General features: G+C 40.9%; 1 protein-coding gene and 1 pseudogene across 8 annotated transcripts in view, besides 2 other annotated features; one reads left to right on the plus strand and one right to left on the minus strand.

Annotated features, from left to right (window-relative positions):
- UBN2 (ubinuclein 2) overlaps positions 1 to 27,616 on the plus strand; it is a 99,192-nt gene that overhangs the window by 65,807 nt on the left and 5,769 nt on the right. For 7 of the 8 annotated variants that reach the window (NM_173569.4, XM_011516002.4, XM_006715916.5 and 4 more), the window contains one exon: positions 744 to 11,193. The exons of the other annotated variant lie outside the window; for it this stretch is intronic. In NM_173569.4, coding sequence (NP_775840.3) covers positions 744 to 793 — 50 coding nt within the window. In that variant the 3' untranslated portion in view covers positions 794 to 11,193. Of the gene's footprint in view, positions 1 to 743; positions 11,194 to 27,616 lie in introns of those variants that run through there. 8 annotated transcript variants of the gene reach the window in all.
- Positions 11,167 to 12,366: an enhancer, noted in NCBI's record as "MED14-independent group 3 enhancer chr7:138992956-138994155 (GRCh37/hg19 assembly coordinates)". NCBI's record gives its function as "activates an origin of replication core promoter dependent on BRD2, BRD4, P300/CBP and CDK7 cofactors, and independent of MED14, by STARR-seq in HCT116 cells {active_cell/tissue: HCT116}" and the evidence as "EXISTENCE:reporter gene assay evidence [ECO:0000049][PMID:35650434]".
- Positions 18,248 to 18,351, minus strand: RNU6-206P (RNA, U6 small nuclear 206, pseudogene; annotated as a pseudogene).
- Positions 22,472 to 23,422: an enhancer, noted in NCBI's record as "H3K27ac-H3K4me1 hESC enhancer chr7:139004261-139005211 (GRCh37/hg19 assembly coordinates)". NCBI's record gives its function as "activates a minimal SCP1, AML or CMV promoter by ChIP-STARR-seq in primed H9 embryonic stem cells {active_cell/tissue: H9 hESC(primed)}" and the evidence as "EXISTENCE:reporter gene assay evidence [ECO:0000049][PMID:30033119]".

Consider the following 27,616-nt stretch of genomic DNA (forward strand, 5'->3'; position numbering starts at 1 on the left):
ATTAGCCGGGCATGGTGGTGTGCGCCTGTAATCCCAGCTACTCGGGAGGCTGAGACAGGAGAATTGCTTGAACCTGGGAGGCAGAGGTTGCAGTGAGCTGAGATCGCGCCATTGCACTCCAGCCTGGGCGACAGAGCGAGACTCCGTCTCAAAAAAAAAAAAAAAAAAGGAAAGAGCCTTGTCCCAGTAGCAGACTTTCCTGTCACTTAAAGCTAGGTTAGAATGAGCACACACTCAGCTGGATGTTTTTCACTACAGATGAAAAGTTTGCTACGTTTGTTTACACAAATAATCAGGAATTATGAAATGCTGTGTCCTGGCAAGAAATTTTATTTCACTTACAAAAAAAAAAAAATGAAATTGACCTGTCTTCCAAAGGAGTTGAAAGATGTAGTGGGTCCCTCGGAGGTAGGAATTGTGTCTTCTGGTTCCTTTATAACCCTCTCACAGCATTTGACACAATTGGCTGGGACGTAAATGATAAATACTTGTTGAAATCATATTTAAAAAACACTGAAAACCACAGTCATTTGAGAGAAGAGGATCATTGTTGTTGAGTTTTTATCTCCATGATGTTTTATCAACCTCTATAATGCTATATGGCATGCAAGATATTAAAAGTGATATCTTTTCAGAGATGTCATCCACAAAAGATAAAAGTTAATTGTTGTTTTTGCTTTGTTTTTGTTAGCTGGTTTTTGTAACATATGGACCCATACCAATTTAACGTCTCTTTTTCTCAGATGGAGGCCAAAGTAAAGGGGACACTAAATTACCACGGAAATCTCAGTGACTGCCCAGCAAGCAAAGGAGACGAAATGTTTAGTTGACTGATGGAATCTACCTGATGGGAAAGTACTTATGTGGTCATAGGGCTGCTGTTTCTGTCGATGTTTACATTCTCTCGTCCCAAGCACTGTGGTGAGGAGGAAAAAGAAAAGAAAACATTACTTGAGCAAAGCCAGGTGCAGGAGGAAGAAATGCTTTTGTGCAAAGTTAGTGACCTTTGGTCTCTTCTAAAGAATGACAGAGTTACCGTATTAACAGACTTGAAAGAGACTCAGTTGTCAAACCCACAGAAATACAAATTTGATTTTTCCCGGGGGAGGAAGAAGGAAGTGAAGAGAATTTGGGTAAACTCCATCCATCCTGGGGGTTGGATCTGAACACTTACAGACATAATTGGTAATAAAAGGCATTAAAAACTGGAATTAGGCCAGTTTGTCAGGAATAATGATCATGTCTATTTGAATGGACTGTGTAGCAGATTTGCCACAAAAAGAAATAATAATGATTCTATCTCCGATAGACAGTAGCTGCATAGCACACCCTCGAAAATCCTGAACAAACTTGAATCTCCTCCAGTGTGTAGCAACTTCCCTCAATCAGTGGACTAAAGATCCTTCAGGAAAGTTATTTTAGCACAGTGATATATATTATTAAATCATCTAGATTTTTAAAAATCAGGAAGTTGAGCCTGTTGCTCTTAAGAGATGAAACCTAGATGTCCCCTTTTTGTAAAAGGGTCAATTTCATCTTCCGTTCAGAAGCAGGTACTTAACTCTTTTCTTCAGGTGATTTGTGCATCTAGTATTGACTGGTTAATTCTTATTTCCATTCTTGATGTTAAAATGTGACTGTGTTCACATTTTTCTCCTGAGAAATGGGGATCTTTACAGGGTTATTGCTTTGCTGCTTTTAGCCCTTGCAGCAACATAAACTCTAAGTTTCCCCAGTTCATCTAACTTCACAACTTCTCCTTCTGTTCTTTTAGCTAGTGGTCCTTCAGGTGATTATTAGCTATTGGTATAAACAGGTAGAAGTGTACACTATGTTTCTTCATTGGTCATTCAAATGGCATGAATATAGTTTTTGAATTTTTAAGATGGTATTTTAAAGGGAGGAATCACATTAGGATCACAATCACGACATATTTTTACTCCCTGTATCCAGTGTAGTGAAATTGTTTGGAGCATTTGAGATCCTAAAGCTTCACTATTTACTCAGTGTATTGGTATGTGAGTAAATCTGCAGAAAATAAGACTCCTTAGTTATTATAGCTTCCTTATGCAAATAGCATATTCAACAAAGGATGTTAAGGGAAAAATTTATGGTTCTCCTTGGATACATTTGATTTGATGGGTTTTTTTGCCGCATTATTCTAGTTTTTTAAGCTTCTGAATATTTTCATACTATATCAGAGAATGGTGTAAACTCTAAATGGTATAAGCTTCATCCATTTATAATGACACTAACCTAAAAAAAATAGACTGGTAGTGACAAGATTTATTGCATATGTGTTTATTATACATTACCCTATACCATTAGATTTACTCAATTAAGAGTATTAACCAGGCCCTTTTTTCTTTTATACACAAAAGTCCCAGATACCCTACAGGACTGTGAATAAATAACCACAGATCGGTTCAGATCTGTATGCCTATATTTTGACTTCAAAGTCACATTGGCTTGCTTCATAGCGAAAAAGTTAATAAATAACTGAAAACTTTAGTTCCAAGAACTTGTTACAGTAAAGGGAAAGGATTATTTCAAAGGAATCACTGATATAATTTCTTGACTCTAAGAATTTAGTTTATCAATAAAACAAATATGGATGTAGTATGAACCCCAGTAGATATTTTGGAAGGATACTGGGAGGATGTTGCAGAGAGGTTTGACTTGAATTCAGTATGTTTGATGAAGATTTGCTTGGTTTCAATTAAGGAAGCTTGCCCAATTTTTTTAATTTTTTCAAATGTAGTGGACCTCTTGCTTTTACGAAATATGAATAAAAAGGTCTTTGCTTCATACTAGGGGAAGTGATGGGATTTTCCTTTGGGAAGGTAGCCTTTGTTTTACTTCTCATACCACAAGAGAAGTCGAAGTGCGTATTAATTTCTCTTCCTGAATACTTGTATATATGTTTGTCTGTATGTATATATACATACACACATACATTCATATAAATGACTAGTTTGAGTCAAAAAATCATTTGAATTTCTTAAAACCATCAATTCTGAATCATGCCATATGAAGATCCCTGGTGACTGTCATCATTAGAAAAGAACAAGATAATCAGTTCTTTTCCCTGTAACATTTTATACTAACCAGTAAAAATATCTGAAGGCCCTTGGCTCCAAGAATACAATGTGGAGATTCTTCTGTGTTCTCTTTAGTCTTGATTCCTTGAGGACTACTGTCAGATCCCTACCTTAAACCCCCACCTGCACTGACGACTTACATTCATTTCAGTCAGGACCCCCCTTTTATGTTGTATGAATCAGTCAAACATCGTTGTATTTCTGTATAGATAAAGTATGATCAGAGAGTTTCTACATGTAAATAGTAATCTATTTCTTTCCTAGATCATAACATTGAAAAAGGTGCCCATACTTTATGGTCACCTGTCTTTACCGTTTTTATTACTAAAAACAAACATATAAATTGGTTATTTTTTAGCACAGAGACTTGTGACTCATACTGTATTTTTGCACTTAAAAATCAAATTATGTTATTTTTTAAAATGGTGAGTCATTGGAAAGGATATCTATAGAGCAACGTGTATTTCTGAAGAGCATTAGCAACATCCAAATGCAAAAATAATCAGCACACATGATTATATCCCACTCCTTGGGATTCTTGATTCAGGAAGATTAAGCTGTTTGTTTTCAACTGTTTTATATTTTAAATTGCCTTCACTGATATATAAGCTGTTACTGTACATACAAGTTAATCCTCAGTATTCACAAGCAATAACAGTCAGCAGGGTTGTCCTCGGAGATAGCTGTGCTGAGCCTCAGTTGGAGACTGGGAGCAAAGTGTCAAGCTCATTCAGAGCATCCAGAATAAATGCAAGCAATAATTTCCATTATAATTCAATTATAATTCTTGTATGCTTTTGAGGTCAGAGGGTAAATGAAATCGTGATTTTAAAACAGCCTGAAGAAAAAGGTTTTGGGAAAGGAAATGAGGCTAATCTGTAGTCATAAAATTCTGATACTTTGCGGAAATTAGAAGATGGTGATAGTGCATTCTTTTGTGCCCACCCCCCCTCTGATGGATGTTGTTAGCCCAAATTACATTTTTCATATCATGGACATTGAATAGGGTTTATTGAATCAGGAAGGTAAGGGGAAGAACCGGGCACATATGTGTTGGAATACTGTGGGTTTGACACCTGGTTGAAAACAACTTATTGGACATGATTTTTAACCCAGGATATTTTTTTCCCAAAGCAGATCTAAATTGTTTACTACCCAGGGTTGGAAAGGGCAGGCACCTCTAATCTAGTCTTTGTCCTCTGGTTGCCCTCTCCCACACCCCTTTCCACCTATACTTGGTTCAAGACATTTTCTGAAACGAAAATTCTGCTGTTGTTCAAACTGCCATTGGTTATGAGAACTCTGCGTCCTTTGGGATCATCTCTTAGAACTCCAGTGATCTATCATATTTGCTGCTACATTTGTAAAATGAACTTTGCCTGTATTGGTTGACTTTAATTTACAGTTCTTTATTTCTAGGATGTTTTGTCCTCTAGTTTGACTCATGTATAGAATTAGGATACTTTATTTTAGGAGTGTACCGTAAAAGCACACTGGTCCCTTTGTTGTTTTTATTATTTAGGTTTGGAATTTGTTTGCTTTTTTTTTGTTTGTTTTTTGTTTTGTTTCTGTTTTTGTTTTTTTTTAAAGTTGGAAATAGAAGAATGAGAAAAATCTATAATCAGGCCAAACTTGAGAACTTTCCTGTGCTTCAGCACTGTAATTCTGCTGACCTAATGTTCTCAAAAGAGGCACTTTTACTTTCTATTGTGCATGTATGATTGTTGTTTTTTGCTTTTGAGGGGGCTTTTGTGTTTGTAATAATGAAGCAGAAGAAAAGTGCAGTAGTAGATAAATGATCACAACATGTTATGCAATTTTATTTTATAAAATTTTAAGGGGAAAAGTTTAACTCTTTGTAAATCATTTCTTAGCTCTGGTAAAATGCTTATATTACTCCTCTAAAACATGCTCAATTCAGGCCTTTGTCTTTGTTAAGTGCCTTTTTTCTTTCTTTTTTCCTCTCTTTTGAAACTGTTGTCACATTATCTTAAAGTACAGACTGATAAGTCAGGGGATTCAGGAGGAAGAATCTCACACTTGTCAACATCATGTCATGCTGTGTAACCCTCTTCCTTTGCTTTCTATGTATATGGATATATGTGTAAGATACATACATTACATATATATAAAACTAGGAGCTGCTGTACCATTGCATCCTTTCCAAACACTCCCCTTTCCATGTTTGCAAAACTTCTGCCTTGTTTATTCCATTGCTTTTAGTTGATTAAAGTGGGTGGATTAGAAAAGTATCTTTTCGGCCGGGTGCGGTGGCTCACGCCTGTAATCCCAGCTCTTTGGGAGGCTGAGGCAGGTGGATCACGAGGTCAGGAGATCGAGACCATCCTGGCTAATATGGTGAAACCCCGTCTCTACTAAAAATACAAAAAATTAGCCAGGCGTGGTGGCAGGCGCCTGTAGTCCCAGCTACTTGGGAGGCTGAGGCAGGAGAATGACATAAACCCGGGAGGCGGAAGTTGCAGTGAGCTGAGATCGCGCCACTGCACTCCAGCCTGGGCGACAGAGCAAGACTCCGTCTCAAAAAAAGAAAATAAAAGTATAGAAAAGTATCTTTTCACAAGAGGCCACCTTCGCCCTTTGAATATCTGCTTGTAGAAGTTAACAATAACAACACACACACACACACACACACACACGTCAGTTACTACAAGTAAAATAAACTTAGTGAATCATTGACTATTCTTGGATATAACCCACTTTTCTGTGCTCTTTAAACTTGGCATAAGTAATATAGGAGACAGCATTGGAATAACAAGAGTACCTTGCAAGTCACATTGGTAAGGTGCGCTAGACTAAACATGTGACAAGGCTAGCGTTAGAACCGCAGTTTGGTGTCTAAGTTTAGAAGCAGGTTAGCAACTGTCAACATGAAAAATGTATCATATTTTCTTCTGGAAAATGATTTTTGAAGAAATCATATAGCTGCATATCTATCTGTTAAAAGGTTAATAAACTCAGAAGTAGAAAGACTTCAGATGCTGAGGAAAACATATAATCTATAGCATTCTTGAGAGATTTTCCATTTGCTTTTTATTTGCTAGATAATTACATTTGGCTTAATCTGATTTTATGGTTATTTAGATTTCTCCCTTGAGCAAAATAACATAATTTTCAGTATCTAAGATTCATCGATTTTTTGTTGAAAACAAATAGATGTGACATGTTAAGGGAGACCAAGTTGAACCATCCCTCAGACCCAGTACAAATATACCTAGTAAGTGCCCCCCTTTCAATACATTCTAATTGGGAAGAAGAAGAGACTAGTGGCTTAAAAGGAGAAAGCAGAAGCTCCTGGTAGTGTTACCTGATAGCAGAACTTACCAGGCAGTTGGAATTCACGAGTGTTATTCTTGAATGACTATGTCTAGGGGGAATATTGTTTAACCTTCGTGCCTCAGATTACCCATTAGACAATTGGGTATAATCATATTCACCTACCTCCCAGGGATATCAGAGACTTTACTATTTCAAAAATATTTTGAGTTTTTGTAAAATGTCCTATATAATTAAAAATAGTATTATCATCTTCCTGCAGAGGCTAAAAAATGTTTTCCTTATAATGAGTATAAAAAGCACCCTATGGTTTTTAAATTTAAAAAAATCACTGGAATTTTAATTTAGATACATATTTGTTATTTAAACATTATCTTTGAGGTGGGATAAAATGTTTAGTTTCAGGTTAACAAGGGAGAGAAATAACACTAAGTTTAAGTAGTTTTTTTTAGCCTTTTACGGTGTTACTGTGATTTTTCGTCAAGGTTGTGGAGCTAAAGTTAGATAAAGTTATGATGCTTGGTTATTGGAGTTGATAAATGATCCTGGAAGTTTTAACTGTCTCACTTTTCCATCTTCTCAGTCTAATTTCCTTTTATTGCTTGTTTGAGGACGGATAGCTAAGCTTTTTAACTTTCTAAGAATGAGTATGATGTCTCATTCTTGCAAATCAGAGATTGTGTACTAATTCCATTAACTGTAGGTGTATCCAGCTCTGCACTGAAGGGGTGAGCACTACACACAGTCAGCTGGATACTCTTGTAGCCATTGCACCTTTGTAATTCATGCTTCTTCAACCCATGAAAGAGGTGGAGCCATCAGCTGCTCAGGTTGTAAGAAAATGGGAGACGGAAGGCAGGATTCACTTTCTAACTGGGTCGGGGTGGGGAAGGTCAGGGTAGAAGGAAACATGTTTTCCCCAGCTCCCAGGAGGAGACGAAGATCATTTTATCCCACCTTCCATCCCTGTATATTAAGTAGTACTACTACATAGAATTTTCCCGTTATCGTTTAAAATAATAGCAACAGGAAAAGAAAAATGGATGCTGCAGTTTTAGTTGGGGCTAAATGCTGAGCAACGATTGTTGGAGTGTGTGTGTAAATTTAAATTGTAGCACATATTCAGGGTCAGGAAAGCAAAATGTTGGGGATGAGGAACCAGTGTTACCAGGTTCAAGTGAGTTAGTAGAAAGCACCAGGTCCAAGCAGACAAAGCATCTGGTTAATTTCCAGAATTGGCTAAGGTCCACTGAATCTCTAATGATAGGGTGTGTGTGTGTGTGTGTGTGTGTGTGTGTGTGTCTGTAAGTCACTTTTTGGATTTTTGTTGCTTTTTCCAGATAAGGCCTTAGTAGCCTCTAAATATCAACTATGCAGATAAACATACTCCTTTTTTTTTTCACATGTCCCTGTCTTTTCCATTCTCAGATAACAAATGTTAAGACCCAAAGAAATAAGGCATAAGGGTTTTTGTTGAATGTGTGTTTGTTCTTCTAGGGAAAATTAACAGAAGCATAAAATAGAGATACTTTGTGTGTTCATCTATCGTAAAATGTGAACTCTGTATTCAAAAACTATCTACAGATGCTTTCACTGGTGCAAAGCTGTAGTTAGTATCATGGAATGTCTTTGGGTTGTTAATGATAAAATCATCCCAGTGTTCAATTCTGAGAGTTTTAGATTATATGACACAATGTTCAGGTTTATAGAGCTGAATGGGTGATCAAACTCTAATTAAAAATAGCTTTGAATATTAATGTTGAATTCTTCTTTCTTGGTTTCCTTTAGTCTTCATTCTTTATTCAGAGCTCTTAATCATATTGCTACACTAGAATATGAATTGTATATTAGGAGTCTGGGGAGGAAAGGTTAAATTGTCTTTTACATCCTCTTCTCACTCACTCTGGCAACCTATCCTGTGTCCCCATAGAACTGAGAAGTAAAGCCCTGTGCAGGCCTGCTTTAGAAGACTTTACATCCCAGCAGAGGATTCAGGCAGGGACTCTCAGGATTTTAATCAGACTGCCTTTGAATAATGTGATATTAAATTTTATTTTTCTCATAGACTCTCAAAGTACCACTTGCTTGAAAGTAGCTACTTGTGATCTTTAATTTCCTTATATTGTGATAGTTCTACTTTTCAGTCTTTCCTGTGTATCTCCATTTCATAGTGCGTTAGTACTTAAACTTCGGACACTTTTCCAAACTGTTAAACAAGTCAGGAATGCTTTTCAGAATCGCAGTAGTATTATTAGGGTCTCTGTGTCTAGGACTTACAGTCATCAGTGGTCATCACTGGGACTAGAGGTGTTCTTTTTTTTCCTCTTCTCCTTTGTATTAAAAAATAGATTTTGCTACTGTATAATGCGGCATTTCATGACTTCCTCTTGTTACTTTTCAAGGTTATTCTAAAGAGATGGAGATCTTCATTAGAGGCTATTTCTCATAATAGTCTGCCTTGCTTATTTTCATACTCCCCCTGAAATAAGCCTACTTTTGCAAACAGGCCATATGAATCAAATTTTATGTTTGTTCCTCACAAAATTTTCTACACATTATTTGTTCCCACTTTGCTAATAATAATATAATGATTTTATTGTAAATCTGTGTTTTAAATATTTTATAACAGAGCACTAATGGAAACCTAATAAATACAAACAAGATAACTATTACCCAAGATAACATGGAAATACTTCTGTTTTTGAAGTTAACAACACCGTCTGCCCTCAAAGCACATTTAGGAGTATCAACCAAGACCAGCCAGTTGACATGTTTTTCTGTGTGGCAACCTGCCCTTAAATTGTCAGATCTTAACTATCTTGTGTTTGCTGTGCTTGCAGCCATAAGCTTTCCTCCTTTTTTGCTTATCCCTGCTGTTTGTAGGGTTAGTGTGCCCTCTGTCAGAAAATTGGGTTTTCTTTACTATACCTGCAAAATTACCAAGGGTTACCCCAATATTGTCTAGAGGAATTAAAAAGAACTTATTCTCAGTTGACAAAAGTATTACTGTTATACATAGTTAATTGGAAAGTTGGCCAACTTTGGTCACCTATTTTTGAGTCTTGGCTATGCCTTTGTAATTAGTTACATATACCTTCTGAGACCTTCAGATAATCAATGGGCCTTTCCCCATTAGAGGTAGGTTCCCAGCCTACAAGTATTTCCTGTGATCCATGGCAAGCCTCCAGAGAAAAGATTCAAGCTTTGCACTGCCCTTTTGTTGATTGTCATTGAAAACTTACTTTATTTCAGAAAGTATCAAAAATACCAAATTGGTCTTTCAGAGAGTATGTAAATCTGGGGCTTGCCCTTGGATTTCACTTGTTAAACACCCTCAAACTTAAAAGAAGAAAATAGATCTCCAGCTGGTGAAAATTTTGTGCCCCAAATAATATATTAATCCAAGTCTACCAAGGTAACTAAGTAATGGATGTTTTCTCTCTTTTATTACAAGCAAGAAAGTTCATTTGCAGTTGTAAAAATGATTACCGAACTCCAGACCTATTTGCTATAACTGATTGGAAATAATGATTCTGATTTTTAGTCTGGGTAAACACATACTTCGGTGTGAATTTTGATAAGGGAAAGACTTGTTTGGTAGCCCAAGGAAAAACAGGATGTATTTATACAGTGAATGTTCACTCTGCAGAGGAACTTCCCTCCAGTTACATCTTCCTCATACATTAGCCACCTCCACACTTGACATAGATGCCAACATGTTTCAAAACCAATCTTGAAGGAGCCTAAAGAGTTGATGGTCCTCTAGGTGAAAGACAAGAATTACTGTATTGCATTTGCTTATAGGGAGGTGTGTTTTTGCTAACTTGAAGGGATATACTGTATTTCAAATAAGTGTGTGACTTAATATTTTGGGATTTTTTTTTCCTCCTTTAAAAACTGGACCTGAACACAAGCTTTGAGTTGATGTTTGTAATAATCTCAGGACCTGAAAGATTGTAGCATTTAGTGTGTCTTAAAAATTATGTACTGTACCAGCCATGGATTTTTGTAAATATACCTGTCTCCCTTTTTTGTATTTTAGTAAAAAAAAAAAAAAATAAATTTAAATAAAAGGGGGTGGTGATGACATGTGAATGGGTGCGGGTATGTGTGCGTGTGTGTTTGTATAAGGCTCTTTTGAGATGAACTGGTGCTTGTTTAATTTCCAGCTCAAATCGGAGCAGGAATATGGACAAACTGCTGCTACTGAACCCTGCACTGAGCCGAGGTATTTCCATTTGGTTAACTAAACGCTAGCTACCAGGAAATGACGCAGAAGTCACGTTCTTCTTCCCACTGCCATCTTGCCTTTGCATTCTCAGTTCTACGTGCCCTTTGAACTTTAATGGTAAAACATTTCACACTTTGGATGGTTTGCTTGTCTCTAGTTTTTAGAAAGCTCTTATCACTCCTTCCTAAGAAAAAAGAAGGGCAGGTAAATTTTTTTAACCAAAAAAAAATCACACATTTCATAAAACCCTGATGAATTTTGGATATGTGAGAGGGCATAAACATTCCTAAATATGGACCTGTGAATTTAGTAAATTACCCCCATGAATATACTCCTTCAGTGCAGGGATTTTTGTGTTTTTTTTTTTTTTTTAATTTTTTTGCAACAGCCTTGCTCATATTCCAGGTGTAGCTAGCAAACCCCTGTTTTTGAAGCAAGAGCCTTATTTGATTCAGTGTAGATGTTTCCTGTCTATCCTTTGTGACAGGGCCTTTTAATGAGTGTTTTTTCTTTTTGTATATGTTACGTGTTTGTTGTTGTATTAAATAAAGAGGAATGTACATACTATCCTCGTGTCTGTTGTGTTATTGAGTTACCTTGGGTTCTAACATCACACTCTCAGCTGTTGGGGAGTATCTGCTGTCCATATCACACTGTGCTAGGTTTATAGGGTACAAGAAGTAAAGGACCCAGTCTCCTGCCTCCCAGTATACTCACAATTTGCAGTCACATGATAAGTTAAAAGATAATGGTTCAAAATCTGTCACAAAGCTACATTTTGGTCCATTTGTGTTCCATTGCTACCTGACATTTGAGTTCACAGTGGGGAAGAAACGGGACTGGAGTAATGTGGGAAGACTCAGTGCAGTGGATGGCACTTGAGGTGGGCCTCCAAGAACTGGTGGAATTTGGCCAAATCAGGAAGGTGGAGCATTTGCTGTGAGGGGCATGTTTGGACAAGTAGAGGAAGGCAGAGCGTGGGAGTCCTTGATTGTGACTCACTCTAGGTTTTTTGGGTAATAGGGTATGTGTGTATTTGATGGTGCTACTACGGTCAGGACTTGAAATGTAGATGTGGGAATCATACAAAAATAATTCAACCTTAGAAATTCAGGTAAGAGGCCGGGCGTGGTGGCTCACGCCTGTAATCCCAGCACTTTGGGAGGCAGAGGCGGGCGGATCACGAGGTCAGGAGATTGAGACCATCCTGGCCAACATGGTGCAACCCCGTCTCTGCTGAAAATACAAAAATTAGCTGGGCATGGTGGCATGTGCCTGTAATCCCAGCTACTCGGGAAGCTGAGACAGGAGAATCGCTTAAACCAGGGAGTCAGAACCAGTGAGCCGAGATTGCACCACTGCACTCCAGCCTGGTGACAGAGCGAGACTCCGTCTCAACAACAAAAAAAAGAAATTCAGGTAAGGGGTGGGAGAACGATGAAGAGAGAGAAAGCAACTTGTCAGAGAAAGTGAATATAAGTGTACGTGTGATCTGCATAGAAAATATCAAAAAGGTTCTTGCTGAAATGGGGTTGTAGGAAAAAATATCAAAAAGGACATAACACCCCAAAATAGAGTGATGGTATGAGTGCTTTTTATTTTTTCCTTTTAAGTGTATTTTCAGTGTGTTGTCATGAAGATGAAAAGAACTAAGAAGTTAAAAAAGACATGGACCTCATACATTAGGGGATGAGGGGGACTGTAAGTGCCTTTAGCTAACATTTAAGGACAGTTTTGCAAAAGTGTGTTGTTGTCAGCAGTACTCCTCAAGATGATTTTTGCCAAAACGAGAAAACCCTGTGGTTATGTAATTTAACTATACTTAACTGTGTTTTCACCATCTTGTATGTTAACATATAAAGGTGTCATTGTTAAATTTTTTTTTAAAACATATTTTACCTAGAGTATTTGGCATGGGTCACTTTTTTCATGTAATTCCAATTAACATTAAATTTTAAAAGGTGGCCAAGGCCGGTGGATCACCTGAGGTCGGGAATTTGAGATCAGCCTGACCAACATGGAGAAACCCCGTCTTCTACTAAAAATACAAAATTAGCTGGGCATGGTGGCAAACACCTGTAATCCCAGCTATTCGGGAGGCTGAGACACAAGAATCACTTGAGCCCAGGAGGCGGAGGTTGCAGTGAGCCAAGATCGCGCCACTGCACTCCATCCTGGGTGATTGTAAGTGTAAATACATATGTGTGTACATACATGCATTAGAAAATATACAAAAGAACATAACACCCCAAAATGTAGAGTGGTGGTATCAGTACTTTTTCTTATTTTTCCTTTTACTTAAATATATTTTCAATGAACCTGGATAACATGAGTAAGTAAGTTGTTTTGTGTAACAAATAGGTGACTTTTTGGTTGAAAAGAGGGAGAAAGAAATGGGAAGGGGCCTCTCCCTGTCTCATCACTGGAAGAAGGGGAAAGAAAGGAATGTATTTCTTCCACTCAGACCTTAGTAGATCCTAACATTGGATTTGGCTTGGAGGGAAAACACAATAAACTGCTTGATTTAAAAATAAAGATTTGTTTTGCTTTGGGAGGCTGAAGTGGGAGGATCACTTGAGCCCAGGAGGTTGAGGTTGCAGTAATCTATCCTGGGCAACAGAGCAAGACCCTGTGTCTTTAAAAAAAAAAAAAAGTTATATTTGGTAGGGGAAAAAAGTACAAAGTACATGGGGATCTAATGCGTGCAAAGCAAATCTTACCCACAATCCCATCTTCCTTCCCCAGAGCAACCACCTATCAATTTCTCCAGTTATAAGCAGTGATACGTATCTGAGTTTGTAATATAAACTTAGCATACCTGGCTAGGCACAGTGGTCATGCCTGTAATCCCAGTACTTTGGGAGGCCAAGGGAGGCGGATCACTTGAGGTCAGGAGTTAGAAACTAACCTGGCCAACATGGTGAAACCCCGTCTCTACCAAAAATACAAAAAAATCAGCTGGGCATGGTGACTCATGTCTGTAATCCCAGCTACTCAGGAGGCTAAGGCAGGAGAATCGCTTGCACCTAGGAGGCAGAGGTTGCAGTGAGCCGAGATCGTGCTACTGCACTCCAGCCTGGGCGACAGAGTGAGACGCCGTCTCAAAAATAAATAAATAAATAAACTTAGCATACGTATACACTGTATCTAGCATTTTTCAGTTATCTTGGAGGTTATTTCACATCAGCACATAGAGGTCTGTCTGGTTCTTTGAACAGCTTCATAGTATTCTATAGTTGTGATATCACTTATTGATGGGTGCTTAGGTTACTATCAGAGGTAAACCACAATATCGTTTATATATTTGCCATCTGTATATATTGCAAACAGTCAAAAGTTTGCTTTGCCATGGACAATAAATGATCTAACTAGATTTGAGTCTGTCTGAAATGTGTACCACTGCTTCCTATACATACAAAGCTTTGAGAAATACTTGAGAAAATCAGTCTTTTATTTAAGGTTTTGATAATTGGGAACGGGCAGAAGAGATGCCTTTGAATTTGGTAAGGGTTGGGTTAATCATGAGATCGTACACCTTTTAAAGGACAATGACAGTCTCTTCTCAGGCAGGCATACTCTGACGTGTCATGGGTGTCCGTTCTTCAGAAAACATCGGGCCTCCATATGTGCCTAGGCGTAGTTTGTTTTTTCTCCCTCTGTGTATTTGCCTCTTCTGTGTCTCTGTTGTCTCTGTGTTTGTCCCTTCTTCATTTCCCCATCATCTTTTCTAGTAGGGTGGCGTGGTGTGAAGAACAGGTTGACAGCAGACAGACGGGTTCACAAGACCCCACTGTGAAGCTGTGTCACTCTAGACAAGACGCTTTCCCTTTCAAGCCCATTTCCTCATCTGCACAGGGGTGAGACCCCAGGCGGGTGTATTGGTCGGATTAGAGACAAGGTATGGAAAGCACCTAGCACAGTGCCTAGCACATAATAAGAGCTTATAAATGGTGGCTACTATTATTCTGTCTCTCCTCTGTCTTTTTACTTCTTAAATGTATGCTTCGTCTTGCTCCCCTAATTTCCCAAAAGTATAGAAGTGAAGCCATAGTGTTGTTTAAAAATCTGGTGTAGTTATTGCTTAAAGTACAGGCATAGATAGATAGCAGTTAAAATTCTTTCATCACAGGTATCAGAAACCCCTGGCTGAAAAAGTCAAGGGAATCTGGTTCATCTGAGTGGTCTTACAGATATTTGGTTTAGATGTAGCGTCATGGAGTGATTCCACGTCACCAAGATCCAGCTCTGTCTCCACTCTGCCATTCCAAGGGCCTGGCTCCGCAGGGAGTCCGTGACAGCCTCAGTCTCTCTTTCTATAGTCAAATGCCTGCTGTAGTTTCAAACTACATGCGAGTATGTGCTGTGGATAATTTCTTACTTTGTACTCAAATGCAAAGTAATGCGTCAATCATATGCCTTGATTCATAGCACATTGTCATCAGTCAGCTGGAGAACTCATTCCCTCACTTCATTATCCATGAAGTTTCTCCTCTTCCTTAGTCCCCACTCTGCTCTGTCCCACAGGCACCACTCTAACTTTTTTGATATGTGCCCCTTGTTTCGCAGGCATTCTTCGAAGTAAGTAGTGTTGTGTCGTGTGTATACAATTTTAATTCATACCAATAGTACTGTGGTAGCCATGTTTACTGTTTTCTACTTACTTAGATACATCCACGTTGCTATGCGTACATTTAGGGTGTTGCTTCTTACTGCTACACGGATTCCCTAGTGTGCACGCACCACATTATACATACCTGTTCCCCTCACAGTGGGTAACTAGGTTATCTTCAATTCCTTATTACCAAAAACAAGGTGATAGTTAGTCTTCCCTTCTGTCAACTGCGTGTTGATCTTTGCTCATCGTGCAATTGCATTTTGGTTTCTTGTTGTGGACATTAATCTCTTACCAGTTTTAGATGTGTCAGTTACTTTTGTCTGTTACCTGTCTTTTAACTTTGTCTGTGACATCCTTTATTGAACGAAATCCTTTTTAATTAATCTACTTTTTGTCTTATGTTTGTGTTTTGGGCAGTTTACTTATGAAATATTTCCCTAGCCCTACACCACAAAGATATCCTCCAGCATTTTCTCCTATGAGCTTTATAGTTTTGCCTTCACCTTTTCATTTACAATCCATCTGGCATCCACCTTTGTATACTGTGTAATGTAGGGATCCAGCTTTATTTTTCTGTATTTAGTGAAGCAGTTTTCCCAATACCACCTAACAGATCAATATTTCTCCCATTAATTTGTGGTACCATTTTTATCATATATCCAGTTCTCATATATGGAAAGATCTATTTTTGGGCTCTGTTCCATTGTTCTTTTTATTTCCACACCAGTATCTTACTGTTTTCTATTACCATAGACTTAAAAATATGCCTTAGTATCTAGTAAAGAGAGTCCCCGTCTTTGTTACTCTATGTTGGCCCAGCTAATTATGGATTTTTATTCTTCCATAGAAATTTTAGAATAAAATTTTCCACTTCCATTTAAAATCCAGTTGAAATATTGATTAGGATTGAATTTGCATTAAATTCACATTCTTTGGGGCCTATATAGTGGTTTAAGAAGAATAATAGAATCTTTAAGTTACAGATTTTTTTTGTGTCTTCCAATAAAGCTTTTAAAACTTCTCTATGAAGGTCTTGTTTATATATTAATTTCGAGGTATTTTATAGCTGTTGCTTCCATGAATTGTATCTTATTCTTTGTTTTCTGATTTATTGTTGGTACTAAGGAATGCTATTGATCCTTTAAAGTTGATTTTATATCGAGCAATTTTGCTAAACTGTTATTCTAATAATTCATCTGATTATTTTACTAGCTTTTCAATGGAAGTGATCATATAATGTACAAATAATGACAGTTTTATCTCCTCTTTCAATTTCACATTTTACGTCTTAGAGCATTAGACTGGTCCTTTAATACTATGCTAAACAGTAATGGGGAACGTGGCATCTTTGTTCCATATTTTAATGGGAACATTAAAATCTTTGTTCCTTATTGATCTAAGTCTTCTCCATTAAGGATGGTGTTATTCTAGATTTTTGGTATATAGTTTTTATGAACTTAAGAAAGTTCTATTCCTAATTTTCTGGGAAGGTTGATTATATGCATGCGCTGAATTAGATCAAGTGCTTTTCCCATAATACCTATATATGATCAACAATGACAGAATTTTTTTTTTTTTTTTGAGACAGAGTTTTGCTCTTGTTGCCCAGGCTGGAGTGCAGTGGCGCAATCTCAGCTCATTGCAACCTCCGCCTCCTGGGTTCAAGTGATTCTCTTGCCTCAGCCTCCCAAGTAGCTGGGATTACAGGCGTGTGCCACCATGCCTGGCTAATTTTGTATTTTTAGTAGAGATGGGGTTTCACCATGTTGGTCAGGCTGGCCTTGAACTCCTGACTTCAGGTGATCCGCCTGCCTCAGCCTCCCAAAGTGCTGGGATTACAGGCGTGAGTCACCGCACCTGGCCCAGAAACTCTTTTAGAAGTTTATTTGTGGCTGGGTGCAGTGGTTCACGCCTGTAATCCCAGCACTTTGGGAGGCCAAGGCAGGCGGATCACAAGGTCAGGAGTTCAAGACTAGCCTGGCCAATATGGTGAAACCCCATCTCTACTAAAAATACAAAAATTAGCTGGGTGTGGATATGGGCTCCTGTAGTCCCAGCCACTGGGGAGTCTGAGGCAGGAGAATCGCTTGAACCCGGGAGGCAGAGAGAGGTTGCAGTGAGCTGCTATCGTGCCACTGTACTCCAGCCTGGGCGACAAAGAGAAACTCCATCTCAAAAAAAGAAGTGTATTTGTAGGATTACTTATTTATTTATTTTTTTAGACGGAGTCTTGCTGTGTCGCCCAGGCTGGACTGCTATGGTCTGATCTCGGCTCACTGCAACCTCTGTCTCCCCGGTTCAAGCTAGTGTCCTGCCTCAGCCTCCCAAGTAGCTGGAATTATAGGAATGCACCACCACACCCAGCTAATTTTTGTATTTTTAGTAGAGACAGGGTCTCACCATGTTGGCCAGGATGGTCATGAACTCCTGACTTCAGGGGATCTGCCCACCTGACCTCCCAAAGTGCTGGGATTACAGGCGTGAGCCACGGTGCCCGGCCAATTTTTAATTGATTGTAACCTCCAGTGTGTTTGCTTCTGTTTTCATGCTGTGCCTTGTTTCGATGCATCATCTGACTCTTAATCAGTCTTGCCATTCTTCCTTCTCAATAACTTTTCAAAGAACCGTGAATGTTTTTGGATGCATATATGTTCATTATGGTTATATCTTTTTGATATAATAATAATAATAATATTATTATTATTATTTGAGATGGAATCTCGCTCTGTCGCCCATGCTGGAGTGCAGTGGCACAATCTCGGCTCACTGCAAGCTCCGCCTCCCGGGTTCACGCCAATCTCCTGCCTCAGCCTCCTGAGTACCTGGGAGTACAGTTGCCCACCACCACGCCCGGCTAATTTTTTGTATTTTTAGTAGAGACGGGGTTTCACTGTGTTAGCCAGGATGGTCTCGATCTCCTGACCTCGTGATCCACCCGCCTCTGCCTCCCAAAGTGCTGGGATTACAGGCGTGAGCCACCGCGCCCGGGAGATATAATATTTTTTAAAAAATATAGAACGCTGCACAATTTTGTGTATCATCTTTGCGCAGGGGTGGTGCTAATCTCTGTATCATTCCAGTTTTAGTATATGTGCCGCTGAAGCAAGCACTGATATAATGTTCTTTTACCAATATGATGTCCCTCATTTTTCTTTGTGACATTTTCCCTGTCTAGTATTAAATTTAATATCCAGATATCTATACCCCAAATAATATCTCATTGTATGGATATGTCACAGTTTACCCATTCATCGGGTGATAGACACTTGGACTGTTTCCACTTTTTAGCAATTATGAATAATGCTCCTATTAACACTTGTGCACAAGTTTTTGTGTGGATGTATGTTTTCAGTCCTCTTAGGTACAGACCTGGGAGTGGAATTGCTGGATTTTATGCTAACTACATTTCATTTGAGGAACTACCAAACTCTTTTCCATAGTAGCTGAACCATTTTACATACCCACCAGCAATGCATAAGAGTTCCAGTTCCGGCCAGGCATGGAGGCTCAGGCTGGGCATGGTGGCTCACACCTGTAATCTCAGCACTTTGGGGGGCAGAGGCAGGCGGATCACCTGAGGTCAGGAGTTCGAGACCAGCCTGGCCAACATGGTGAAACCCCATCTCTACTAAAAACACAAAAATTAGCCGGGCGTGGTGGCAGGCGCCTGTAATCCCAGCTACTGGGGAGGCTGAGGCAGGAGAATCGCTTGAACCTGGGAGGCAGAGGTTGCAGTGAGCTGAGATCGCGCTGTTGCACTCCAGCCTGGGCAACAAGAGCGAGACTTCGTCTCAAAAAAAAAAAAAAAAAAAAAAAAAAAAAAGGGGTTCCAGTTCTTCTACATTCTCATCAGCATTTGTCATTTTTCATTTTTTAAATTATGGCTGTCATCTCCTAGTAGGTATAAGTGGTATCTTGTTATTCTTTTGATTTGAATTTTTGTAATAACTAATAGTATTGAACATCTTTTCATGTGCTTAGTAAGTTCTTAGTATTTTAAGTATAATATACTTATATTAAGTATAAAAGTACTTATTCCAGGAGAGTTTTCAAAGAGGCTTTTGTGCTGGTTTTAAACTTGTTAGAACTTTGTATGTCTGAAAGTATCGTATCATCTTTGCTTCTTCACATTTAAATAATAGTTTAGTGGGATGTAATTTTCTAGGTTCTTTTCCTTCATCACTTAGAAATATAATTTCATGGCCGTGCACGGTGGCTCACGCCTGTAATCCCAGCACTTTGGGAGGCCAAGGCGGGCAGATCAGCTTGGCCAACACGGTGAAAACCTGTCTCTACTACAAATACAAAACTTAGCTGGGCATGGTGGCAGGGGCCTGTAATCTCAGTTACTCGGGAGACTGAGGCTAGAGAATCACTTGAACCCAGGAGGCAGAGGTTGCAGTGAGCAGAGAATCACGCCACTGCACTCCAGCCTGGACGACAAGAGTGAAACTCTGTCTCAAAAAATAAAAAATTATGTATGTGTGTGTGTGTGTATATATATATAATTTCATTGCTTTTTTGTCTCCAATTTTTCTGTTAGGAAGATTAATGCCAATCCAATTTTTATTCTTTTGTGAACTATATTCCTTCTTTCTATAAGATTTTTGAATTTTTTTTTCTTTTTTTTGGTCTTCGATGTTCCTAAATTTCTTTTTTTTTTCTTGAAATGGAGTCTTACTCTGTCACCCAGGCTGGAGTGCAATGGTGTGGTCTCAGCTCACTGCAACCTCCGCCTCCTGGGTTCAAGCAATTCTCCCACCTCAGCCTCTAGAGTAGCTAGGACTACAGGCCAATGTTCCTAAATTTCATTACAATATTTCAAAGTTTAGGTTTTTCCTTCTCTATTCTGTTTGATGTTCCACAAGACCTTTGCATTGCGGTCTTTTTATCATTAATCTGTATTATTATTATTTGAGATAGAGTCTTGCTCTGCCACCCAAGCTGGAGTGCACGGCTCACTGCAGCCTCAACCTCCCAGGCTCAACCAGTCCTCCCACCTCAGCCTCCCAAGTAGTTGGAACTATATGGTGCATACCACCACGCCCAGCTAGTTTTTAATTTTTTTTAGAGACAGGGTCTCACAACATTGCCCAGGCTGGTCTCAAGATTAATCTTTAAAACTTCACGTTTTTTCTTTTTTTTTGGCTCCCAACAAGAAACACACACACTTACAATTTTTTAATACGTTCTCTTACTTACATCCATTTTCTCTTTTTCTGAAACTCGTATTAGGCAGATATTGACACTAATATTTTCCATATCTCTTAAACGTTCTTTGGTATTTTCCATCTCCTTATTACTTTTCGGTACCTTCTAGGAAAATTTCTTCAGCTGATTTAGATCATTATTCATTTTTCAGCTATTCTTGTTGTTTTGGTTTTTTTTTCTTTTTTGAGACAGAGTGTCACTCTGTTGTCCAGGCTGGAGTGCAGTGGCACAGTCTTGGCTCACTGCAACCTCCACCTCCCGGGTTCAAGCGATTCTCCTGCCTCAGCCTCCCAAGTAGCCGGGATCATAAGTGCCCGCCACCATGCCCAGGTAATTTTTGCATTTTTAGTAGAGATGGGGTCTCAACATGTTGGCCAGGCTAGTCTCAAACTCCTGACCTCAGGTGACCCACCCGCCTTGGCCTCCCAAAGTGCTGGGATTACAGGCATGAGCCACCGCACGCAGCCCAACTATTATTGTTTTTATCCACTTTCCTGAGTTTGTCACCAACTTCATATCAGTGTTTCCACTGGATTCTGTGCCACTGCTTGTTCCTCATTATCATCCTCTTATCTCTCTGAGGATCTTTGTTGTGCTTATTTTAGAGTCCTGATCTGTCTTGTTCCATTCCGGTTTGTGTAGGACAGTTTGTCTCTTTTGATGTGATTGTACTCTTAAAATACCTGGTGACATTAACCTCCGAGCTTGTTTTTCCCTGAGCTTATCAGCTTCCTTAGCTGGTGACATATAGTCAGGGGCATGGGCAAGTTCCAGCCCCTAACCTGTGCTTTTGCAAGTGGGCTGGGAGCACCAGCAGCCTTTCCCAGAGCAAACTTCCAGGCACCTGAGTCAGACCTGAACTTAAAACTGTGGGTCTGATTCTGCAGTTTACGGTTTTTTACTAACTTGCTCATGGTGGCTTATTTCTCTGTGTGTTTAGTGATTTTTGTATGATATATCCCTGCACTTCAGAACTTTATGGACATTCTTTGAGGCCTGGCTATTTTATTTGTTTGTTTGTTTTTTAAGACAGGGTTTCACTGTATGCCCAGGCCAGAATGCAGTGTTGTGATCATTCCTTACCTGACCTCCTTGTCTCAAGTGATCCTCCCACCTCAGTCTCCCAAATAGTTGGGACTACAGGTGCGTGCCACCATACCCAGCTAATTTTTTTTTAAATTTGAGGCCTGGATTTAAAGAAGAAGGATTTAAAGAAATCCTTCTTCTAGAGAGGACTTGATTTGCTTCTGCCAGGTTCCTAGGGACATTACCAACCCAAGACTGACCGCTTCAAATTAATTCTCAGCTTAGGATTTCTGGGCCTCGAAGTTAGGATGGATTTCAGCCACAAATTCATGCGCGTGGTAAGGGCTAGTGGTTAAGGACTCCTGTGGGTGGTTCTCCGGCTGGTGGCTAAGGACTCTTGCGGGGGTGGTTCTCCACCCTGCCTCCCACCCAACACTGCAGTCGAGACAGAAAAGCCTTTTCTCAGCAAGGTCAGGGTTGCGTTTTTCATTCTCAGCAATTCCCTGTCTTTGGGGCCCCAGCATTATGCAAGAGTCTTTTGTTGTTGTTGTTTTGTTTTGTTTTGTTTTTTGTTTTTTGAGATGGAGTGTTGCTCTGTTGCCCAGGCTGCAGTGCAGAGGTGCGATCTTGGCTCACTGAAACCTCTTGCCTCCCGGGTTCAAGCGATTTTCCTGCCTCAGCTTCCCGAGTAGCTGGGATTACAGGTGGGCACCACCATGCCTGGCTAATTTTTGTATTTTTAGTAGAGACAGGGTTTCGCCATGTTGGCCAGGCTGATCTCGAACTCCTGACCTCCAGCAATCTACCATCCTGGGCTTCCCGAAGTGCTGGGATTACAGGCATGAGCCACCGCACCCGGTCCACAAGAGTCTTGATCTGCCACCCCACCGTGCCTGTCTGGGGCCTTCTTTCCTTTTGGCTGCCTGAGGCAAATTAAAAATCCAGACTCTAAAGCCAGTTGTGCAGATGCTCACCTGTGGTCCCAGCTACTTGAGAGGCTGATGCAAGAGGATTGCTTGAGCCCAGGAGTTCAAGTCCAGCCTGGGCAACATAGCAGACACTCCATCTCTAAAAAATCAAAAATGATAAAAATTCCAGCCTCTAGGCCACCAGGGATTAGCATAGGCCCTCAGGGCAAACAACACGTTCCTGCTCTCTTTCTGGGTCCTCCTCCTTCTGACCTCCAGTTATTCTGGTCTCCTTTACTTCCCTGTTAGCTCAGTCATGCTTTAAAGTATTTTTTGTGTATTTATTAAAATTTCACCCAACACTCAGGCGGGTGTGGTGGTCCATGCCTGTAATCACAGCACTTTGGGAGGCCGAGGTGGGCGTATCACAAGGTCAGGAGATGGCGACCATCCTGGCTAACATGGTGAAACCCCGTCTCTACTAAAAATACAAAAAATTAGCTGAGTGTGGTGGCGGGTGCCTGTAGTCCCAGCTACTCCGGAGGCCAAGGCAGGAGAATGGCGTGAACCCAGGAGGCAGAGCTTGCAGTGAGCCGAGATCGTGCCACTGCACTCCAGCCTGGGTGACAGAGCGAGACTCCGTCTCAAAAAAAAAAAAGAGAGAAATTTCACCCAACACTCAAAGTAGTCTCTATTGACAGAGATTTCTCTGCACATCTAATTATCCATAATTTCAAAAACAAAAATTCTGACCAGACGTGATGGCTCATGCCTGTAATCCCAGCACTTTGTGAGACCAAGGCGGGCGGATCACCTGAGGTCAGGAGTTTGAGACCAGCCTGGCCAACATGGTGAAACCCCGTCTCTACTAAGAATACAAAAATTAGCCCGGCGTGGTGGCAGGCACCTGTAATCCCAGCTACTCAGGAGGCTGAGGCAGGAGAATCGCTTGAACTGGGAGGCAGAGTTTGCAGTGAGCTGAGATCACGATACTGCACTCCAGCCTGGGTGACAGAGAGAGACTCTGTCTCAAAAACAAAACAAAATTTCACCCAACACTTTAAGGTAGCCTATATTGACAGAGATTTATCTGCACATCTAATTATCCATAACGTCAAAAACAAAAATTCTGGCAAAGTGCTGGGATTGTAGTTGCAGTGGCTCATGCCTGTAATCCCAACACTTTGGGAGGCCAAGGCAGGCAGATCACTTGCGGTCAGACGTTCAAGACCAGCCTTGCCAACATGGTGAAACCCGTCTCTACTAAAAATACAAAAATTAGCCAGACATGGTAGCGGGTGCCTGTAATCCCAGCTACTCAGGAGGCTGAGGCAGGAGAATCGCTTGAACCGGGAGGCGGAGGTTGCAGTGAGCCAAGATCATGCCACTGCACTCCAGCTTGGGCGACAGAGTGAGACTCCGTCTCAAAAAAAAAAAAAACAAACCATTCTCTATATATTTTGTATAAAAAGTCATATTAATATAAGGACGAAATATATAAATATGTAAAAATTCTATATTAGCTATACCTTCACACAGCCCGCTTCCTAAGTCAGGCTGTCATGAGACACCTGCAGTGCATCAGGTATCCTGGCGTGAGGAAGGGGTTACTTTTTATAATGATAACTTCTTTTACTAAAATGGGACTCTTTCTGTGTCAGTTTCACCAGAGGCCCCAAAGGCTGAGAACAAAACATTAGGTGCCAAGTACTTCCACATTCTAAAGGCAGGAGGAGCTAGATCACCTTCACAGCTCATGCTGAGATTGTAAAACTGTTAGCTCCACATTGGGAAGGATTAGCTTGGCATCCACGTCCTGGCCGTGGCGGAATGTGAGAGGATTGCTTTGGAGCAACTGTCTGTGTGCTGGACGTTGCCCTTCTTCCCAGGCAGGAGGGGGTGGGTGCCCCATCTTCAGCTCATGCCAAATAAGGGAGCACTTCAAGAGGACCATTTCGGAAAGTGTGACATGTCTTCTGGAGTTTGAGGGACACGTGGACTGGGATTTGACTCCATGTTGGTGGCTAGCCCCTGGAGATGGCTGCCTTTGGCATGGTTTGCACTCTCAGAGTTCCTGTAGGCCTGCCGTGGTTCTCTAGAAAGGGAGACAGCCTTGTTCCAGCCAAAGGGAACACCGGAGGGATGGGATAACCTCAATAGAGGGGAGGACTTCTGGAGCCTAAGCGGCTGGGCAGGTACCCTAGTGTCCAGCTGGAGAAGGTGTAGCCTCTGGGGGACAGCAGGTGGCCTGGGGGTGGAGACTCTCCAGAACGCACGAGAAAACACCTAGGAGAAAAGAAGCACCATTTGGAATCTGTCACTCCCAGACTCAACTCATGGAGTGAAACCTGACCTTCCTTCCCCTGCTTCCCCAGGACAGCAGCAGGCCAGGGACAGCAGCCAGCAAGGCCGGAGGAGGCAGTATGAGAAAGAGAAATGACACTGACCGTGACCCCACGGACTCCAGGCTGGAGGAGGAGAGAGGGTTTCAAGTCAATGACATTTGAAGTTTTGAGATGACACTGGATAAGACTAATAACTAGAAAAAGAGACTTTTTTTTTTTTGAGACAGAATCTTGTGTCACCCAGGCTGGAGTGCAGTGGCACAATCTCAGCTCACTGCAACCTCTGCCTCCCAGGTTCAAGTGATACTCTTGCCTCAGCCTTCGGAGTAGCTGGGACTATAGACACGTGCCACTACACCTGGCTAATTTGTGTATTTTTAGTAGAGATGGGGTTTCACCCTGTTGGCCAGGCTGGTCTCGAACTCCTGACCTCAGGTGATCCGCCCACCTCGGCCTCCCAAAGTGCTGGGATTACAGGCATGAGCCACCATGCACAGCGGAGACTATTTTTTAAGTAAAATAAACAAACAAACAAAAAAACTCTTTAACCTGTTTGTTACCCAAAAGAGCCTGGAAAAGCTATAAATGTCATCCAGGCCTAGGAAAGAACGTATCATTACAACTGATTTGTAGGGACACTCCTGAGAAAGCAAAGTTGCTTTTTGTTCATACCTTAGCTCCTTCAGCAAAAGGCTGCATGGGAGTGTAGAAGGTCAGGTCAGGGAAACAGGTGGGCCATGTCCCCTGGCCCTCTTGGCCCACTTCCAGGCCGGGGCAATCTAAGCCAGCAATGGGGAGACGTTTCATTGGAACTTTGGAGTTTTCATGTTATACCATCTGGACTTTTTTTTTTTTTTTTTTTTTGAGACAGAGCCTCACTCTGTCACCAGGCTGGAGTGCAGTGGCATCCCACCACACCCAGCAAATTTTTGTATTTTTATTAGAGACGGGGTGTCACCATGTTGACCAGGATGGTCTCAGTCTCGATCTCCTGACCTCATGATCTGCCCGCCTTGGCTTCCCAAAGTGCTGGGATTACAGGCTTGGGCCACCACGCCAGGCTGGACTTTTTTAAAAAACCAAAGAGGAAAATTGTCCTTCTGTGTCCTGGAAAGGCTGCGTAAACCACCCCCAGTTTCACACAGGACAGAAAGAAGTCACCCAGGAAGCTGACGAGTGGCAGTGACGAGAAGGAATCACTCACTCTCTCCTTGCATCCAGCAGGTCCAGCTTGTCTGTTTTGAGTTTCATGATATACTGAGTATTATCATGCACTGCAGTTTCCATGCTGCAGGATGTCATCAGTGGGTTAACTTGATGAAAAGCAAGACCTTCAAATAACAGAAACTACTATGTAATGGAAAGAAGCCATGAAACTCTCATATACAAGAATTGTTGGCCGGGTGCAGTGGTTCATACCTGTAATCCCAGCACTTTAGGAGGCCAAGGTGGGCAGATCACTTGAGGTCAGGAGTTCGAGATCAGCCTGGCCAACATGGTGAAACCTCGTCTCTACCAAAAAATACAAAAATCAGCTGAGTATCAAATGTCAAAATTAAACACCTAGTTTTCTTTTACAAAAGACTCAAGCATTTCTCATATGCTGACCTCTCCTTTGATGACAAGAGGCTGTCAGGAGTGTGCTGCCCTGAGGTTCACAGCATATTTTTGGCAATCAGGCTTCGTTCCCAAATTTTTGTATGCTGCTCTCCGTATTACAGGGACTAGAATTATGGAAAATGCATTTCTCAATTTCTCTTGCCTGCAAGCTTCTGGACCTGATTATTATTATTATTATTATTATTATTATTATTATTATTATTATTATTTTTGAGACGGAGTCTCACTCTTACCACACAGACTGGAGTTCAGTGGCGCGATCTTGGCTCACTGCAACCTCCACCTCCCGGGTTCAAGCAATTCCCTTGCCTCAGCCTCCTGAGTAGCTGGGATTACAGGCGCCCGCCACCAAGCCCGGCTAATTTTGGTATTTTTGGTAGAGTTGGGGTTTCACCATGTTGGCCAGGCTGGTCTCGAATGGATGTGATTTTTTTTGTACTCATGCAAGTTTTCGTAGATGCAAGGAAAAAGCGGTATTATTATTTTGGAGGCCATGGTAGACCTAAAATCCCACAGTAGCCTCCAAGTGATCCATTAGCCCCATCTCAGTGCTTTGGGGCCTCTGCCATCAACAGGGGTTTCCTGCATTTTTCTGACCTGGGTGACAGCAGCAACCAACCTCCTGTACTCTGAAGTACTGTGTGGTAGCAGACTTCCCCTAGCTCCTAATTCCCGCTGCCATTCTTATGATGTCATAAGCATTTAAATACCCTGCACTCAATTCCTGTCCGCTTGAAAGGCCTACAGTGGTTCTCTTTTTCTTGCTGAACCCTGACTAATATGGATGCCTAGCTGATATTTTGAAAAAAATGGAGATCCTTAATGGGTCTCTTTAAGTTAAAATTGTTTTTAAGCTTTAATGAGACATTAACTGCCAATTTTAAAAGAAACTTGGCTGGGCGTGGTGGCTCACGCCTGTAATCCCAGCACTTTGGGAGGCCGAGGCGGGAGGATCATGAGTTCAGGAGATCGAGACCACGGTGAAACCCCGTCTCTACTAAAAATACAAAAAATAGCTGGGCGCAGTGGCAGGCCCCTGTAGTCCCAGCTACTCGGGAGGCTGAGGCAGGAGAATGGCGTGAAGCCAGAAGGCGGAGCTTGCAGTGAGCCGAGATCGCGCCACAGCACTCCAGCCTGGGAGACAGAGGGAGACTCCATCTCAAAAAAAAAAAAAAAAAAAAGAAAAAGAAACTTATGCTATGAAGAGAGAAATTTGAAAAATGAATGTTTAGAAATGTTTATCACTGTGCAATTTTGTTGCCTGA

The sequence above is a fragment of the Homo sapiens genome, chromosome 7 (genome assembly GCF_000001405.40).
Source record: "Homo sapiens chromosome 7, GRCh38.p14 Primary Assembly".
Classification (NCBI taxonomy): domain Eukaryota; kingdom Metazoa; phylum Chordata; class Mammalia; order Primates; family Hominidae; genus Homo; species Homo sapiens.